General features: G+C 40.1%; 1 protein-coding gene across 11 annotated transcripts in view; it reads right to left on the reverse strand.

The window, feature by feature from the left end:
* The window catches only part of L2HGDH (L-2-hydroxyglutarate dehydrogenase), a 69,796-nt gene continuing 55,860 nt past the window's right edge, over positions 3,412–17,347 (reverse strand). For 6 of the 11 annotated variants that reach the window (NM_024884.3, NM_001425214.1, NM_001425215.1 and 3 more), the window contains one exon: positions 3,412–8,231. In NM_024884.3, coding sequence (NP_079160.1) covers positions 8,036–8,231 — 196 coding nt within the window. In that variant the 3' untranslated portion in view covers positions 3,412–8,035. The remainder of the gene's footprint in view (positions 8,232–17,347) is intronic. The other 5 variants (NM_001425212.1, NM_001425217.1, NM_001425218.1 and 2 more) reach the window with 1 other exon arrangement.

Raw genomic sequence — 17,347 nt, forward strand, 5'->3', positions numbered from 1 at the left:
CGTGGTGATGGGCGCCTGTAATCCCAGCGACTCAGGAGGCTGAGGCAGGAGAATAGCTTGAACCCAGGAGGTGGAGGTTGCAGTGAGCCGAGATCACACCACTGCAACCCAGCCTGGGTGACAAGAGCGAGACTCCCTCTCAAAAAAAAAAAAAAAAAAAAAAAAGAAGAAGGCAGAAGTGAGTTGGAAGCCGCAACTCTGATATTTCTGTTAGCAAGCACCATTCAGTCACTAGTTTTATGTGGCAGCAGCAATGGCTAGACTCATGGTGTGGCAGTTCTCTGTGGATCATAATTGTTTTGAAATTACTCTCTTAGTGGCCTGGTTCTGTGGTGTGGCTTTGGGACTTGTTCCTGAAAGCTCAACCAGAATCTACTTCATTAGCCTTCCAATGATTCTGTATTCTCTGAATGAATGTATTATTATTATCATTAGACAGGGTCTCACTGTTACCCAGGCTGGAGTGCAGTGGTGCAATCATAGCTCCCTGCAGCCTTGAACTCTTGGGCTCAAGGGATCCCCATCTCAACCTTTCAGATAGCTAGGACTGGTCAGGCAAGGTAGCTCACCACGCCTGTAATCCCAGCACTTTGGGAGGCCAAGGCGGGTGGATCACTTGAGGTTAGGAGTTTGAGACCAGCCTGGCCAACATGGCAAAACCCTATCTCTACTAAAAATACAAAATAAATTAGCCGGGCATGGTGGCACATGCCTGTAATCCCAGCTACTCAGGAGGCTGAGGCAGGAGAGTTGCTTGAACCTGGGAGGCAGAGGTTGTAGTGAGCCAAGATTGTGCCACTGCACTCCAGCCTCGGCAACAGAGCAAGACTACGTTTAAAAAAAAAAAAAAAAAGATAGCTAGGACTAACAGCCATATGCCACCACACTCGGCTAATTTTTTGTTTTTGTTTTTGTAGACAGAGGGTCTCGCCATGCCATCCAGGCTGGTCTCGAACTCCTGGCCTTAAGCAGTCCTCCTGCCTCAGCCTCTCAAAGTGCTGGGACAACAGGCATGAGTCACCACACCTGGCCCAAAATAAATTTATTTTTGTTTAGCTAGAATGGATTCTATTCTCTTCCAACTGAACCCAAAATAATAAACCAAACAGGGCAAACCCCCTCTCTCTGGGGTAGGTTTATACTACTGTGTTAGTTTATATCACTAACTCACAACAAAGTGTTGTTTTGTTCTGTGATTACTATATTCACTGATAACCAAACTTCAGTTTTTTGACCCAAATATATAATCATTTACTCTCTACTTGAAAAAACAGTGTGATTCTTTGGTGTTATCCATTGATGTGATTTCTGGAAGCTGAGTAGCCTAGAATGACCCTCCAGATTCCCTTCAACTCTGTGGTTCTCACCTACCATATCCACTCTTAGAATAAATGCCATCACTATATGACTTTCATAGGAAGTTTCCTTCCAGAGGAAACTACTATTCTCTCAATTAGAAATGCTGGTAGAACCTTGAAATCCTCAATGTCGCATCAACTCTTTTAAAATAACATTTAACACTAGGCTTTTTCTTTAATTCCAGAAAACTTACCAAGTAATTCTGGAGAGAATTCAAAAATAAAAGTATATTCAAAAGTTCACTACCAACCACAAAATTCTAACATGCAAAGTAGAAGCAAAAAGCATCTTTATATCCCTAAATTCCAAAGCACAAAGTTGGATGTCAGAAGACAACCTTTTACTGTTGGCCTGTAACATAACCAACATGCTTGGTTCTGAGTATTTAGAAGGATCCAGGAGGTCCCAGCTGGAATGACTGATCAAGAATCTAAGAAAGGCTGGGTGCAGTGGCTCATGCCTATAATCGCAGCATTTTGGGAGGCCAAGGCAGGTGGATACCCTGAGGTCAGGAGTTCGAGACCAGCCTGGCCAACATGGTGAAACCCCATCTCTACTAAAAATACAAAAATTAGCCGGGCATCGTGGTGTGTGACTGTAGTTCCAACTACTCAGGAGGCTGAGGCAAGAGAACTGCTTGAACCCAGGAGGCGGAGGTTGAAGTGAACTGAGATCATGCCACTGCACTCCAGCCTGGGCAACAGAGTGAGATTCCGTCTCAAAAAGAAAAAAAAAGGGAAAAAAAAAGCATCTAAGAAAAACATAGGCAAAGGTTAAGGATCTAGGCATTCTGGGAAAGAGCAATTAGTACGTGGCCCCTGTGATTTGGGAAGCTACTCAGAGACCAAAACAACAACAAAAACCCAAACAAACTAAAGAACCTGCTATTATTATAAACTGATATCACAGCCAGGTGTGGCGACCCATGCCTGTAATCTCAGCACGTTGGGAGGCCAAGGCAAGAAGATTGCTTGAGGCCAAGAGTTCCAGACCATCCTGGGCAAAATAGTGAAACCTGTCTCCTCAAAAAAAAAAAAAAAAAAAAATTAGCTGGGCATGGAGATGCACACCTGTAGTCTCAGCTATTCAGGGGGCTAAAGCAGGAAGATTACTTGAGTATTTAGAAGGATCCAGGAGGTCCCAGCTGGAATGACTGATCAAGAATCTAAGAAAGGCTGGGTGCAGTGGCTCATGCCTATAATCCCAGCATTTTGGGAGGCCAAGGAAGGTGGATACCCTGAGGTCAGGAGTTCGAGACCAGCCTGGCCAACATGGTGAAACCCCGTCTCTACTAAGGATGTTGAGGCTACAGTGAGCTATGATCATGCCACTGCACTCCAGCCTGGGTCCTGGGTGACAGAGTGAGACTCTGTCTTAAAAAAAAAATAAAAAGGCTGGGAGTGGTGGCTCACGCCTGTAATCCCGACACTTTCGGAGGCCAAGGTGGGTGGATCACTTGAGGTCAGGAGTTCCAGACCAGACTGGCCAACGTGGTGAAACCCCATCTCTACCAAAAACATAAAAAATTAGCTGGGTGTGGTGGCGCGTGCCTGTAATCCTAGCTACTCGAGAGGCTGAGGCAGGAGAATCGCTTGAATCCAGGAGGCGGAGGTTGCAGTGAGCCAAGGTGGTCCCACTACACTCCAGCCTGGGAAACAGAGCAAGACCCCATCTCAAAAAAAGAAAAGAAAAGAGAAAAATAAATAAAAATTAAAAAATAAACTGATATCCCTAAAAGACATCTCTTATATTCCCAGTGGACAAATTTACAGAAAATTAAACCTGAAAGGCGTAAAAGAAACAACCACTGCTGTAGCCATTTCATTGTGCTTCAGAGCAACAAAGTTAAAAGAGGTTTTTCTAAAGATACAGTTTTAAGCAGAAGTTGGCTGAAATTCAAGGTTCTCTAGTGAGAGAGGTCCCTCTGTTATCATTGTCCCTCAGGTCTTTCCTAATATTCAAAATTGGGCTTCCTGAGCAACCCAAGACCTGCCATCTCTTGCCATATCTAAAAGGTAAATTTTCTCATTTTATCCCAGGGACAAAAGAAACTTAAAATAAGATAACTTTAATGTGAGATCCTTCCCATAAGCAGAAAATACAAGCAATTAACAACATCAACAACAACAACAAACCCACAATACTTTCTAGGATTTGAGGCCAGAAAAGTAGAGTTGGTTGGTATCAACACTGTTCTTCCCTTCAGGGCTTCAGGGTTTATTTCCATTCTTAAGCTATTTAATGAGTACAAACTATTTGAAAACATCTCGAGGCAGCTTTTGCTTTCCCAACCATTTCACCCTGTCCTTCTACCTTAAGCCCTGATGAAGAGATTTCAAAAACTCCCTTTGAGTGTGTTAGAAAAGCTTAGAAACTGACTTTACGATTACAACTCAAAAATGTTTACAAGATCTTTAGATAATAGTGTATGCGCAGAAAGATGAGGAAACCTCTGACCAAGAAGTCTAGACACAGATTAAGGGCCCAGGAGGGCAGAGCCAGTCCTTAAACAATATAGACACCATGTCTCCTGTGTTTACAGGGATAGCTCATAGGTACAGCCATCAGGGTTGGATTGCCTCCAAAAGTAGGCCCTACAAACTCCCGTAGGCCAGGGCCTGGCAGTATACCCCATTCTCACCACCATCCTTTGAAGAAAGTTCTAAGAGTTAAGGTTATCCCACAGGCTACTAGGTAGATTTCCAAATGGCCTCAGGGAAAGTGGAATTCTGCCAACAGTAAAGGCAACTCCCCAAACAGTGCTAATGCTGAGAGGATCAAGGGAAGGACTTTGATATACACATATATGTATGGATAAAAGAGTTAAGCTACGTAACATGAAACACCAAAAATATACTTGCTGGTACATCAAGAGTTCCTCACAAACACTCTGAAGTTAAAATCTAAAATGCTCCACTTTTTACCCAAAATATAAATGACTCAACCTCATTTTGTATTATATACTAACACAGAAATGAGTTTTTTAAAAAGGTTGGCTGCTATCTATCTAAAGCAAACAGTTTATGTTTTACACATAAAAAAATTTATTTGCATAAAAGTTTTTATGGAACTAAAAAATATGTTCTCTACAACACCAAGGCTCATTAAAATATTTTAAATATTAATATACATTTCTTCTGTCAGAAATACATAAAACTTTATTATATCAGTATTAAACAAAAAAACCCTATTGACATACATATAAAACGTTTTACAAGCAGAATAACCTACATATTCAAAACACTTTCAACAAATTTTTCATTTTTATTTTTCAGGGTATTTTATATATATATATATATATATATTGTTTATTATTATACTTTAAGTTTTAGGGTACATGTGCACAATGTGCAGGTTAGTTACATATGTATACATGTGCCGTGCTGGTGTGCTGCACCCATTAACTCGTCATTTAGCATTAGGTATATCTCCTAATGCTATCCCTCCCCCCTCCCCCCACCCCACAACAGTCCCCAGAGTGTGATGTTCCCCTTCCTGTGTCCATGTGTTCTCATTGTTCAATTCCCATCTATGAGTGAGAACATGCGGTGTTTGGTTTTTTGTTCTTGCGATAGTTTACTGAGAATGATGATTTCCAATTTCATCCATGTCCCTACAAAGGACATGAACTCATCATTTTTTATGGCTGCATAGTATTCCATGGTGTATATGTGCCACATTTTCTTAATCCAGTCTATCGTTGTTGGACATTTGGGTTGGTTCCAAGTCTTTACTATTGTGAATAGTGCCACAATAAACATACGTGTGCATGTGTCTTTATAGCAGCATGATTTATAGTCCCTTGGGTATATACCCAGTAATGGGATGGCTGGGTCAAATGGTATTTCTAGTTCCAGATCCCTGAGGAATCGCCACACTGACTTCCACAATGGTTGAACTAGTTTACAGTCCCACCAACAGTGTAAAAGTGTTCCTATTTCTCCACATCCTCTCCAGCACCTGTTGTTTCCTTTTCAGGGTATTGTACAGACTCAAATGGATTGAGGACTGCTTCAATTAGGACAATCATTTTTTGTAATTCAATGTTTACAACTTAGTATGTATGCAATCGTACTACTGACAAAATACAGAATGATAATATTTTCCATCTCTTAGTAATCTTGTAATGGAACAGAAAAATATCCTGTGTTTGCATTTCTTGCAGGAATCAGCTGTTATAAAGAAACATTAGGGCTTGTTTCTTCTGTCATTGATATCTGAATGCTTTTAATATACTCATCCTAAGAGTTGAATAATGGCCTACTCTGTTTACCTGGGATGTGCTACTTCTTAAACATGAGCTGATGAAGTGTAGCCTTTCAAATTAATGGATGAGGTAGCTCAATCAATGTAATCATCAATGCTTGAAGTGAGGGGAAAAGGAAGAAAACAGAAACATTTTTCCTATCAACCAAAATGCACATCCTTCTCACCCATCCATCATACAGCTTTGGAGAGCTAAGAGGAAAGAAGACATACACAGTAGAAGATGAATCCTGAGAGAGCAAATCAGAGAGAATGGATGAAAATGCCTCACCTAAATGTGGTTCAGTACTCAAAGTTCTGCAGTCAGGTCGCCACATTTTCATTTACAATTTCTATTTTCTAACTTTCTAAATTATAAGAATAATTTCGATAGATACCACAAAACACATATATACAGGATATACCACAGCACTGGGCATCAACTTAAAATACTCATGAGGTGAATGTAAGGCACTTTCGCGGTTTACAAAAGTGAATGCCTCAAAGTTAGATATTTATCAAAAATGGAAAAATATCCCTATACAAGTTTATAGGAGCCCTGAAAAATCAAGTACGTATGAATCATTACCAATCTTGGCCAACATTTTGAGAGCCTTAGTGTGACTAAAGATCAGAGATATAATAGATAAATAACTTTTTTAAATTGGAGTTCTATACATCAGTGTCAGGATTCTAAAACTGCTCTCATAAAAATCTGTCTCTTCTAAGTTATTTCAGTTCTCAGCCACAGAGATTGAAGAACAGGACAACCACTCAGTGTACCACTGTTTAGATTTCATGATGATACCATACCACATCAGTTACAAAGAGACTGGAAATAATAAAGGCTTTGAGTTTGTTTTGTTATTTCCTACAAATATTATAATTAAGATAGAAACTTATTCAAACTACTCAAAAATGTAAATTTTATGTATTTTCTTGAAATCATGAATTTTTAATTTCCAAATACAAATATTGTTGCTCTAAATAATGTGAGTTTTGTGACTCTTCAAAATTAAAAGAATGTAACCTACAATATAATGTATTTTCTTGTCTATGAGAGACCAAACGAGCTTAGGTAGCGTAATGCTAAAAAATTGATTTAAGGAAATAATCTATTTTTATGCCATCTTTCTCCAAAACTCTTAAAAAGCCAAATCTTCTCTAGGTCATGGTTGGTAAGGACAGGTCATTAACAAAGTCAGGGATTCAGGGCTGAGCATGATGGCTCGCACCTGTAATCCCAGCATTTTGGGAGGCTGAGGCAGGTGGATCACCTGAGGTCAGGAATTCGAGACCAGCCTGGCCAACATGGCAAAACCCCGTCTCTACTAAAAATACAAAAAATTAGCCAGGCATGGTGGTGGGCGCCTGTAATCCCAGCTACTCAGGAGGTTGAGGCAAGAGAATCGCTGGAACCCGGGAGGCAGAGGTTGCAGTGAGCCAAGATCGTACCATTGCACTCAAGCCTGGGCAACAAGAGTGAAACTCCGTCTGAAAAAAAAAATAAATAAAAGTCAGGGATTCGGACAGATAAAACTGTACCTTGCCTCTTTATTCGCAAAGTAAATAAGCATGGAATTTATTTTTTGTTGTTGTTTTTATTTTTTGAGTCAGGGACTCACTTTGTTGCCCAGGCTGGGGTATAGTGGCATGAACACAGCTCACTGTAGCCTTGATCTCCCGGGCTCAAGCGATCCTCCTGCCTCAGCCCCCAAGTAGCTGGGACTACAGGCACACACCATCATGCCCAGCTAATTTTTGTATTTTTTGTAGAGATGGGGTTTCATTCACTATGTTGCCCAGGCTGGATTTTTTTTTTTTTTTTTTTTTTTTTTGAGACAAGATCTTGCTCTATCATCCAGCCTGGAATGCAGTGTCATGAACATAAGCTCACTGCAGCCTAGACCTCCTGGGCTCAAGTGATCCTCTCACCTCAGCCTACTGAGGAGCTGGAACTACAGAGGCACCAGACCCAGCTAACTTTGTGTAGAAACAGGGTTTTGCCATGTTGCCCAGGCTGTTCTCAAACTCCTGGGCTACAATCTACCTGCCTTGGCTTCCCAAAGTGCTGGCCACGGCCCCCAGCCTAACATTTTGAAAATTATTATTATTATTATTTTCTTGCTCTGTCACCCAGGCTGGAGTGCAGTGGTGCAATCTCAGCTCTCAGCTCACCTCCGTCTGCTCGGTTCAATTGATTCTCCTGCCTCAGCCTCCTGAGTAGCTGAGATTACAGGCATGCGCCACCATGCCTGGCTAATTTTTGTAGAAAATTATTATTTCTATGTTACATCATTTTAACAATGCAGTGGTTATCTTTGACCTAAAAACTAAAGTTTAAAAACCATTTTTTAAATTAAAGAATGCAATTAGTACATTCTTGTTGCTGACATGAAGATTACAGTGCATACCTAGCTCCTTTCATTATTTATAATTCAAATCTTTGTTGTACTTCATCTGCAATCATTCCAGAAATTGCAATGGAAGAAGTAGCAGCAGGAGAAGGTGCATTTCTCACATGAAGAATGCGATTTCCAATATCCCCAACTCCTGCATCAAATACAAAATCTTCTACCAGATTTCCATCTCTATCCAGGGCCTGGGCTCTTACTCCAGCTGGGCCCCTGCAAAAGTAAAAGATGGGAGTCAGCTGACTCAAAGACATAGGATACTTTACAAGTCAGCGTTTCCAAAAAGTCTTAAAGCAATAAAGTATTCTTCTAAATGCACAATTATATGGAAACCCAATGAGTTTATGTTTAACCAAAGGCTGTCAGTTGTAGCCTGTCAAACCTATATTGTTAGCTTAGAGCCTAAAACCTATTACGTAACAATAGTGTAACAAACGCTTATCAAAGAAATACATAAAAACAAGTAAGTTATTTATCAATGTCTGCTCTTTCCAAAGGTAGTAGGTAAATCCACACTTAATTAGAACAGGTATATTTTTATTTAAATTTATAGAATGAATTTATTATAAAAATCAATCAATGGCAACAATAAGCCTCATCTGAGTAATACAAATCAATGAAAGCAGAGGTTATGTGTCAGTTGCATTCCTGTATCCTATTCTACTTATTTTTGTGTTTTTAAAATTCACACAATTAAAATTTATGGAGAGAAATATTTGCAAATGGCAACAAGTTCTTGTTTTGCAGTTTGTTTTTAAGAGTTTACCCTTCAATATCAGGATCATCTTCAATTTCAAAAGATGATAGGAAAAGCATAAAAATAAATTTAGCAGCATGTTAATAAAATGAGAGTCTTTTTTTTTTTAATTGAGATAGTCTTGATCTGTTGCTCAGGTTGTGTACACAACCTCGCCTGGCTAATTAAAGAAAATTTTTTTTTGTAGAGACAAGGTTTCCCTACGTTGCCCAGGCTGGTCTCAAACTCCTGGCCTCAAGTGATCCTCCCACCTTAGCCTCCCAAAATGATGGGATTATAGGTGTGAACAACTGTAAAGACACTGATAATCTTTATTACTTAAAATTCTATTTTATAACATTTGAGCTCACAGATTTTTGTTGTTTTTTTAAACAGTTAAAATTTACAGATGAAATTTGAATCCAATGTTTTTGAACTACAAAAAAGCACCTCTTATGAAACTTGTCCAAGGAAGCCCAGTGTGAAAAATTCTATCTTATACACACCAGCAAGGCTCAAGAAATCAGGAAACAATATTAAACATTTTTTACTAATTCTGGGACAAATCAGATAAGTACTTGCAGAAGATACAAAGAACACTATGAAGGCACTGCCCTCTAAGACTTCAGCTGGCTGAAGAGAGATAATAGTAATAGCTATTATTTAGTAAGTGCTTACTCTGTGCTAGGAATTACCTCATTTAATCCTCAAAACAACTCTTAAGAGGCTGACACAGTTTATATTTAACAGCAAAGAAACACAGAGAGATTAAGTAACTTGCCTGAAATCACAGAGCTATACTATTCATTCGTAGAGAGGTAAATAAGAATTATAACAGTAAGAGTGAAAGGTTGTATGATAAAGATAAGTGATCTTCCCTATAGAATCCTGCAGGGAATCTGGACAAGAGATTTTTTAGCTGTAAGAATTTCCAAGTAAGAATCAGATATGGGAGTGAGTGGAGCAAGACGGTGGAAAAGAAGCCTACAAACATTGGTTCGGCTGCTAGAACACCAAATTTTAACTATCTGCACACAGAAAAGCACCGTCACAAGAACCAAAAATCAGGTGAGCAATCACAGTGGCTGGTTTTGACTTCATATCTTTGAAAGAGGCATTGAGGAGGGCAGAAAAGATGGTCTTGCATCGCCAATGCCACCCCTCCCTCACCCCCTAGCAGCAGCCAGCCATGTGGTGTGGAGACAGAACCTATGCACTTGGGAAAGGGAGGGTACAGTGGCTGGGGGCCTTTACACTGAACTCAGTGCTGCCCTGTCACAGTGGAGAATAAAGCTGGGCTGGGCTCAGCCAGCGCCAGCACATGGAGGGAGCATTTGGACCTGCCCCAGCTAGACAGGAAGCATCCATCCCAGTGGTCAGAACTTGAGTTTCCCTGCAAGCCTCACCACCGTGGGCTGAAAAGCTCTGGGGTCCTAGATAAACTTGAAATACAGTCTAGGGCACAAGGACTCCAACTCCTCAGCTACTAGCACTAGGCTGGGCTTATAGTCAGTGGACTAGGGTGGCATGTGATCTAGGGAGATACCAGCCGGCATAGCTAAAAGAGTGCTTGCATCATCCATCCCCCAAACAAAGGCAGCTGCAATAGAAGTGACTCCTTTCTTCTGCTTAAGGAGCAAAGAGCAAAGAGTAAAGAGGACCGTCTTACATCTTGGATTCCAGCTCAGCCACAGTAGGATATGGCACTGGGCAGAGTTGTGAGGCCCGCATTATAGGCCCTAGCTCCTGAACAACATTTCTAGACCCACCCCGGGCCAAAAGGGAACCTACTGCCTTGGAGGGAAAAACCCAGTCCTAGCAGGATACATTACCTGCTGACTAAAGAGCCCTTGGGCCCTGAATAACCAGCAGCGATACCCAAGGAGTGCGTCATGGGCCTTGGATGAGACTCTGAGATGTGCTGGCTTCAGGTGTGACCCAGCACATTCCCAGCTGTGGTGGCTACAGTGAAAGACTCCTTCTGTTTGAGAAAAGCAGAGATAAAAGTAAAGGGGACTTTGTCTTACACCTTAGGTACCAGCTCAGCCACAGTGAGGTAGAGCAACAAGCAGGTTCTTGGGGTCCCCAAGTCAAGGCTTACACTCCTTTTTTTTTTTTTTTTTTTTTTTTTTTTTTTTTTTGTGAGACAGAGTCTCGCTCTGTTGCCCAGGCTGGAGTGAAGTGGCGTGACCTCGGCTCACTGCAACCTCCACCTCCTGGGCTCAAGCGATTCTCCTGCCTCAGCCTTCCAAGTAGCTGGGATTACAGGTGCACTCCACCACGCCCAGCTGATTTTTGTATTTTTAGTAGAGATGGGGTTTCGCCATGGTGGCCAGGCTGGTCTCGAACTCCTGACCTCAGGTGATCCACCCGTCTTGGCCTTCCAAAGTGTTGGGATTACAGGCATGAGCCACCGTGTCTGGCCCAGGCCAACACTCTTGGACGGCATTTCTAGCACTACCCTGGGCCAGAGGGGAGCCCACTGCCCTGAAGGGTAAGTCCCAGGCCAGGCAGCTTTCACCACAAGCTGATGGAAGAGCCCTTGGGCTTTAAGTGAATATTGGTGGTGGCCTGGCAGAAACCCTGTGGACCAAAGGTGGTGGTAGCCACAGGGAGTGGCCCCTCTGCCTGTGGAAAGGGGAGGGAAGAGTGAGAAGAACTTTGTATTGTAGTGTGAGTGCTAGTTATCCGCAGTAGAACAGAACATCAGGTAAACTACTAAAGTATTTGACCCCAATCTGTGGCTTCCAGACAGCATCTCTGGACACGCCTGGGGCCTGAGGAAGCTTACTGCCCTGAAGGGAAGGGCCCTGGGCAAGACCCAGTGCTGGGCTGGCTTCAGGTCTGACCCAGTGCAGTCCCAGTGGTGGTGGCCACAGGAGTGCTTGCATCACCACACCCCCCAGTTCCAGGGGGTTTAGCACAGACAGAAAGAGACTCCATTTATTTGGGAGGAAGTAAGGGAAAAGAACAAGAGTCTCTGCCTGGTGATCCAGAGAATTCTTCTGGATCTTATCCAAGACCACTTAGGTGGTACCTCTACAAGTCTACAAAAGACACAATGTTATTGGGCTTGTTACCCAAGTCCCTTTGAATACCTGGAAAGCCTTCCCAAGAAGGACAGGCACAAACAAGCTCAGACTGTGAAGACTACAATAAGTACCCAACTCTTCAATGCCCAGACACCAAAGAACATCTACTAGCATCAACACCATCCAGGAATACATAACCTCCTCAAATAAACTAAATAAAGCACCAGAGACCAATCCTGGAGAAACAGAGATATACGACCTTTCTGACAGAGAATTCAAAATAGCTGTTTTGAAGAAACTCAAAGAAATTCAAGACAACACAGAAAGAATTCACAATTCTTTCAGATAAATTTAACAAAGGGATTGAAATAATTAAAAAGAATTAAACAGAAATTCTAGAAATGAAAAATGCAACTGACATGCTGAAGAATATATCAGAGTCTCAATAGCAGAACTGATCAGGCAGAAGAGTTTGTGAGCTGAAAGACAGGCTATTTGAAAATACATAGTCAGATGAGACAAAAGAAAAAAGAATAAAAAACAATGAAGCATGCCCACAAAATCTAGAAAACATTCTCAAAAGGGTAAATCTAAGAGTTATTGGCCTAAAAGAGGAGGTACAGAAACATATAGGGGTAAATAGTTTATTCAAAGGGATGATAACAGAGAACTTCCCAAACCTAGAGAAAGATATCAACATTTGAGTACAAGAAGATTATAGAACCCCAACAGCATTTAATCCAGAGACTAACTCAAGCCATTTAATAATCAAACTCCCAAAGGTCAAGGATAAAGAAAGAATTCTAAAAGCAGCAAGAAAAAAGAAACAAATAATATACAATGGTGCTCCAATATGTCTGGCAGCAGACTTTTCAGTGGAAACCTTACAGGCCAGGAGGGAGTGGCATGACATATTTAAAGTGCTGAAGGAAAAAACCCTTTTACTCTAAAATAGTATATCCAGTGAAAATATCCTTCAAGCATGAAGGAGAAATACTTTCCCAGACAAAGTTGAGGGATTTCATCAACACTAGATATGTCCTACAAGAAATACTAAAGAGAGTTCTTCAATCTGAAAGAAAAGGATGTTAATGAGCAAGAAGAAATCATATAAAGGTACAAAACTTCCTGATAACAGCAAGCACACATAAAAAACACAGAATAGTATAACACTATAATTGTGGTGTATAAACTTCTCATCTTACATAGAAAGATTAAATGATGAACCAATCAAAAATAGTAACTACAACAACTTTTCAAGACACAGACAGTACAATAAGATATAAAGAGAAAAAAAAAAAATTAAAAGCCAAGGAACAAAGTTAAAGTGTAGAGTTTTTATTAGTTTTCTTTCTGTGTGTTTGTTTGCATATGCAATCAGTATTGTCATCAGTTTAAAATAGTGGGTTATAAGATAGTATTTGCAAGCCTCATGGTAAAATAGAAAAACATACAATGGATATCAAAAAATTAAACAAAAAGAAAGAAATTAAAACATACCATCAGAGAAAAATCACCTTCATTAAAAGGAAGATAGGAAGAAAGCAAAGAAGGAATTGAAGACTGTAAAGCCACCAGAAAACAAATAACAAAATGGCAGGAGTAAGTCCTTACTTATCAATAATAACACTGAATGTAAATAGACTAAAGTCTGCAGTCAAAAAGACATAGAGTAGCTGAATGGATGAAAAAACAAGACCCAATGATCTGTTGCCTAAAAGAAACTTACTTCACCTATAAAGATACAAAGAGACTAAAAATAAAGGGATGGAAAAAGATATTCCATGACAATGGAAATGAAAAAAGAGCAGGAATAGCTAGAATAGCTATATTGATATCAGACAAAATAGACTGCAAGACAAAAACTGTAAGAAGAGACAAAGAAGATTATTATATAATGATAAAGGAGTCAATTCAGCAAGAGGACATAATGATTGTAAATATATATGCACCCAACACTGGAGTACCCAGCTATACAAAGCAAATATTATTAGAGCTAAAGAGATAGACCCCAATATAATAATAGCTGGAGACTTAAACACCCCACTTTCAGTATTGGATAGATCTCCCAGGCAGAACCTCGACAAAGAAATGTCAGACTTAATCTGCACTACAGAACAAATAGACCTAATAGTTATTTACAGAACATTTCATCCAATGGCTGCAGAATACACATTTTTCTCCTCAGCACATGGATCATTCTCAGGGATAGACCATATGTTAGATCACAAAACAAGTCTTAAAACATTCAAAAAATTTGGAATAATATCAAGCATCTTCTCTGACCACAATGGAATAAAACTACAAATCAATCACAAGAGGAATTTTGGAAATTATATAAACACATAGAAATTAAACAATATGATCCAGAATGGGATCACATCAAGTTAAAAAGCTTTTGCACAGCAAAGGAAACAATCAACAAAGTGAAGAGACAACCCACAGAATGGGAGAAAATATATGCAAACTACTCATCTGACAAGGGATTAACAACTAGAATATACAAGAAGCTCAAACAACTCTATAGGAAAAAAATTTAATAATCCAATTTTAAAAGGGGCAAAATATCTGAATAGACATTTCTCAAAAGAAGACATACCAATGGCAAACAGGCATATGAAAAGGTGCTCAACATCACTGATCATCAGAGAAATGCAAATCAAAACTACCAGGAGATACCATCTCACCTCAGTTAAAATGGCTTTTATTCAAAAGACAGGCAATAACTAATGCTGGTGAAGATATGGAGAAATGGGAAACCTCATACACTGTTAATAGAAATGTAAATTAGTACAACCACTGTGGCCAATAGTTTGGAGGCTCCTCAAAAAGCTAAAGATAGAGTTACATGATCCAGCAATCCCACTGCTGGATATATACCCAAAAGAAAGGAAATCAGTGTATCAAAGAGATATCTGAATTTCCATGTTTACTGCAGCAGTATTCACAATAGCCAAGGTTTGGAAGCAACCTAGGTGTCCATCAACAGATGAATGAATAAATAAAATGTGGTATCTATACACAATGGAGTACTATTCAGCCATTAAAAAGAATGAGATCCTGTCATTTGCATCAACATGGAGGTCATTATGTTAAGTAAAATAAGCCAGGCACGGAAAGACAAATATCATCCGTTCATACTTATTAGTGGGATCTAAAAATCAAAACAATTGAACGCATAGAGGTAAGAGAGCAAGACTGTAACCAGAGGCTGCGAAAGGTAGTGTGGAGTGGGGATTTACAGGGGAGGTGGGGATGGTTAATGGATACCTCCCCCCAAAAATAGAAAGAATGAAATGAATAAGACCTAGTATTTGATAGCACGACAGGGAGACCATAGTAAATAATAATTTGATTGTATATTTAAAAATAACTAAGAGTGTAATTGAACTGTTTATAAGACAAAGGATAAATGCTTGAGGGTACGAATAACCAATTTTCCATAATGTGATTATTATGCATTACATGCCTGCAGCAAAATATCTTATGTACCCCAAAAATATATACACCTACTAGGCACCCATAAAAATTAAAAAAAAAATCTTAAAGAATCAGATATACCACATAGAACACAAAAAGAAGGGACGGAACTGAAAGCTGAAACTTCTTGGGGTAGAGACGCATATGTTTATCAGCTGGTATGTGGCCTATTTTGTATACTATTTATAGTTTATCTGAACTCATCGAAGTAGCATTTCTCCCCTCAACATCAGGACCAGCCACTGATGTTGAGTGTCCAATGTAAAACTCTGCTGTATAGAGAATCAGTCAGTACATTCCCTTTGCTCCTTCTAGGCACATAAAGGTTAAAATTGATTAACCACAGTTAAAAATGTCTACACTTATTTTTCTTACAAACAAAAATTATGTTCTCAATGTCCCCTATACTCTTGTCCACATATTGAAAACCCTACAATCCAAATTTTAAAATAATAATAATGTTTTTCTGGCCAGGCACAGAGGCTCATGCTTGTAATCCTAGAACTTTGGGAGGCCAAAGCAGGTGGATCACTTGAACACAGGAGTTTGAGACCAGCCTGGGCAACATGGTGAAATCCCATATATACGAGAAAAAAAAAATCAATCAGGCGTGGTGTTGAGTGTCTGAGTGTCTGTAGTCCCAGCTACTTGGAAGGCAGAGGTGGGAGGATCCCTTGAGCTAATGGCGGTAGAGGCTGCAGTTGAGCTGTGATCACACCACTGCACTCCAGCCTGGGTGACAGAGTGAGACCCTGTCTCAAATAAATAAATAAATAATAATGATGTTTTTCCTACGATTTCATTTTAGTTCAAACAAGTTTTTAACATGAAATGTTTAAAGTACCAAATTTTTCATTCCCTTTTCAAGCACTTAAGGCAACTTCAGGGTTTTTCTTTGTAGGATTACATATGCTTTCCCCTCAGAACACTTCAAACTGAAATAAGTATTATTATTTGAAATCTCAGCCAGGAAAGGTGGCTCCCGCCTGTAATCCCAGAACTTCGAGAGGCCAAAGTGGGTGGATCACCTGAGGTCAGGAGTTCAAGATCAGCCTGGCAAATATGGCAAACCCCCGTCTCTACTAAAAATACAAAAATTAGCTGGGGCGTGGTGGCAGGCACCTGTAATCCCAGCTACTCGGGAGGCTGAGGCAGGAAAATCGCTTGAATCCAGGAGGTGGAGGTTGCGGTGAGCCAAGATTGAGCCATTGCACTCCAGCCTGGGCAACAAGAGCGAAACTCCATCTCCAAAAAAAAAAAAAAAAGAAAAGAAAAAGAAAAGAAAATCTCAGGTAACATAAACCATAAATGTCTTGAGGGCAAGTATGGTGTCAACACCCCTACATCACCCAAATGTGCAGATCTGTGTCTTGCACATAGTAGGCATTCAATAAGGCTAGAAACTTTAAGCTTTAAGTTAAAATTTAAAATTTCTATTTTTTTAATTTTTATTTTTAAATATATCCTGGGCAGGGTGGCTCAGGCCCAATCCCACTTTGGGAGGCTCGAGGGGTGGATCGCTTGAGGTCAGGAGTTCCAGACCAGCCTGGCCAACATGGTGAAGCCTCATCTCTAACTAAAAACATAAAATTAGCCAGCCATCATGGCACATGCTTGTAATCCCAGCTACTTGGGAGGCTGAGGCAGGAGAATCACTTGAACCCAGATCGCACCACTGCACTCCAGGCTGGGTGACAGAGTGAGACTCCGTCTCAAAAAAAGAAAAAAAAATATGTCCAGAAACAAGAACAGCTGAATGTGTAACTAAATACATACATTCATGAGAAGTCTTGTATTACATTATTGTCATATGTCAAGCATTACACTACAGGTTGGAAAAACAGCTACGAAAAGCTGTAACAGGCATCTTCAGCCAGTTCCAAATACAATGAGACAATCTAGTATTTTATAAAACTCCACTGCTAATCTAAATATATAAGTCCATACCAGGCATAGTGGCTCATGCCTATAATCCCAATGCTTTTGGAGGATGAGGCAGGAGAATCACTTGAGCCCAGGAGTTCCAAACCAGCTTGGACAATATAGGGAGACTCTGTCTCTAAAATAATAATAACTAGGCA

This window comes from Homo sapiens, chromosome 14 (assembly GCF_000001405.40).
Source record: "Homo sapiens chromosome 14, GRCh38.p14 Primary Assembly".
NCBI classification, from domain to species: domain Eukaryota; kingdom Metazoa; phylum Chordata; class Mammalia; order Primates; family Hominidae; genus Homo; species Homo sapiens.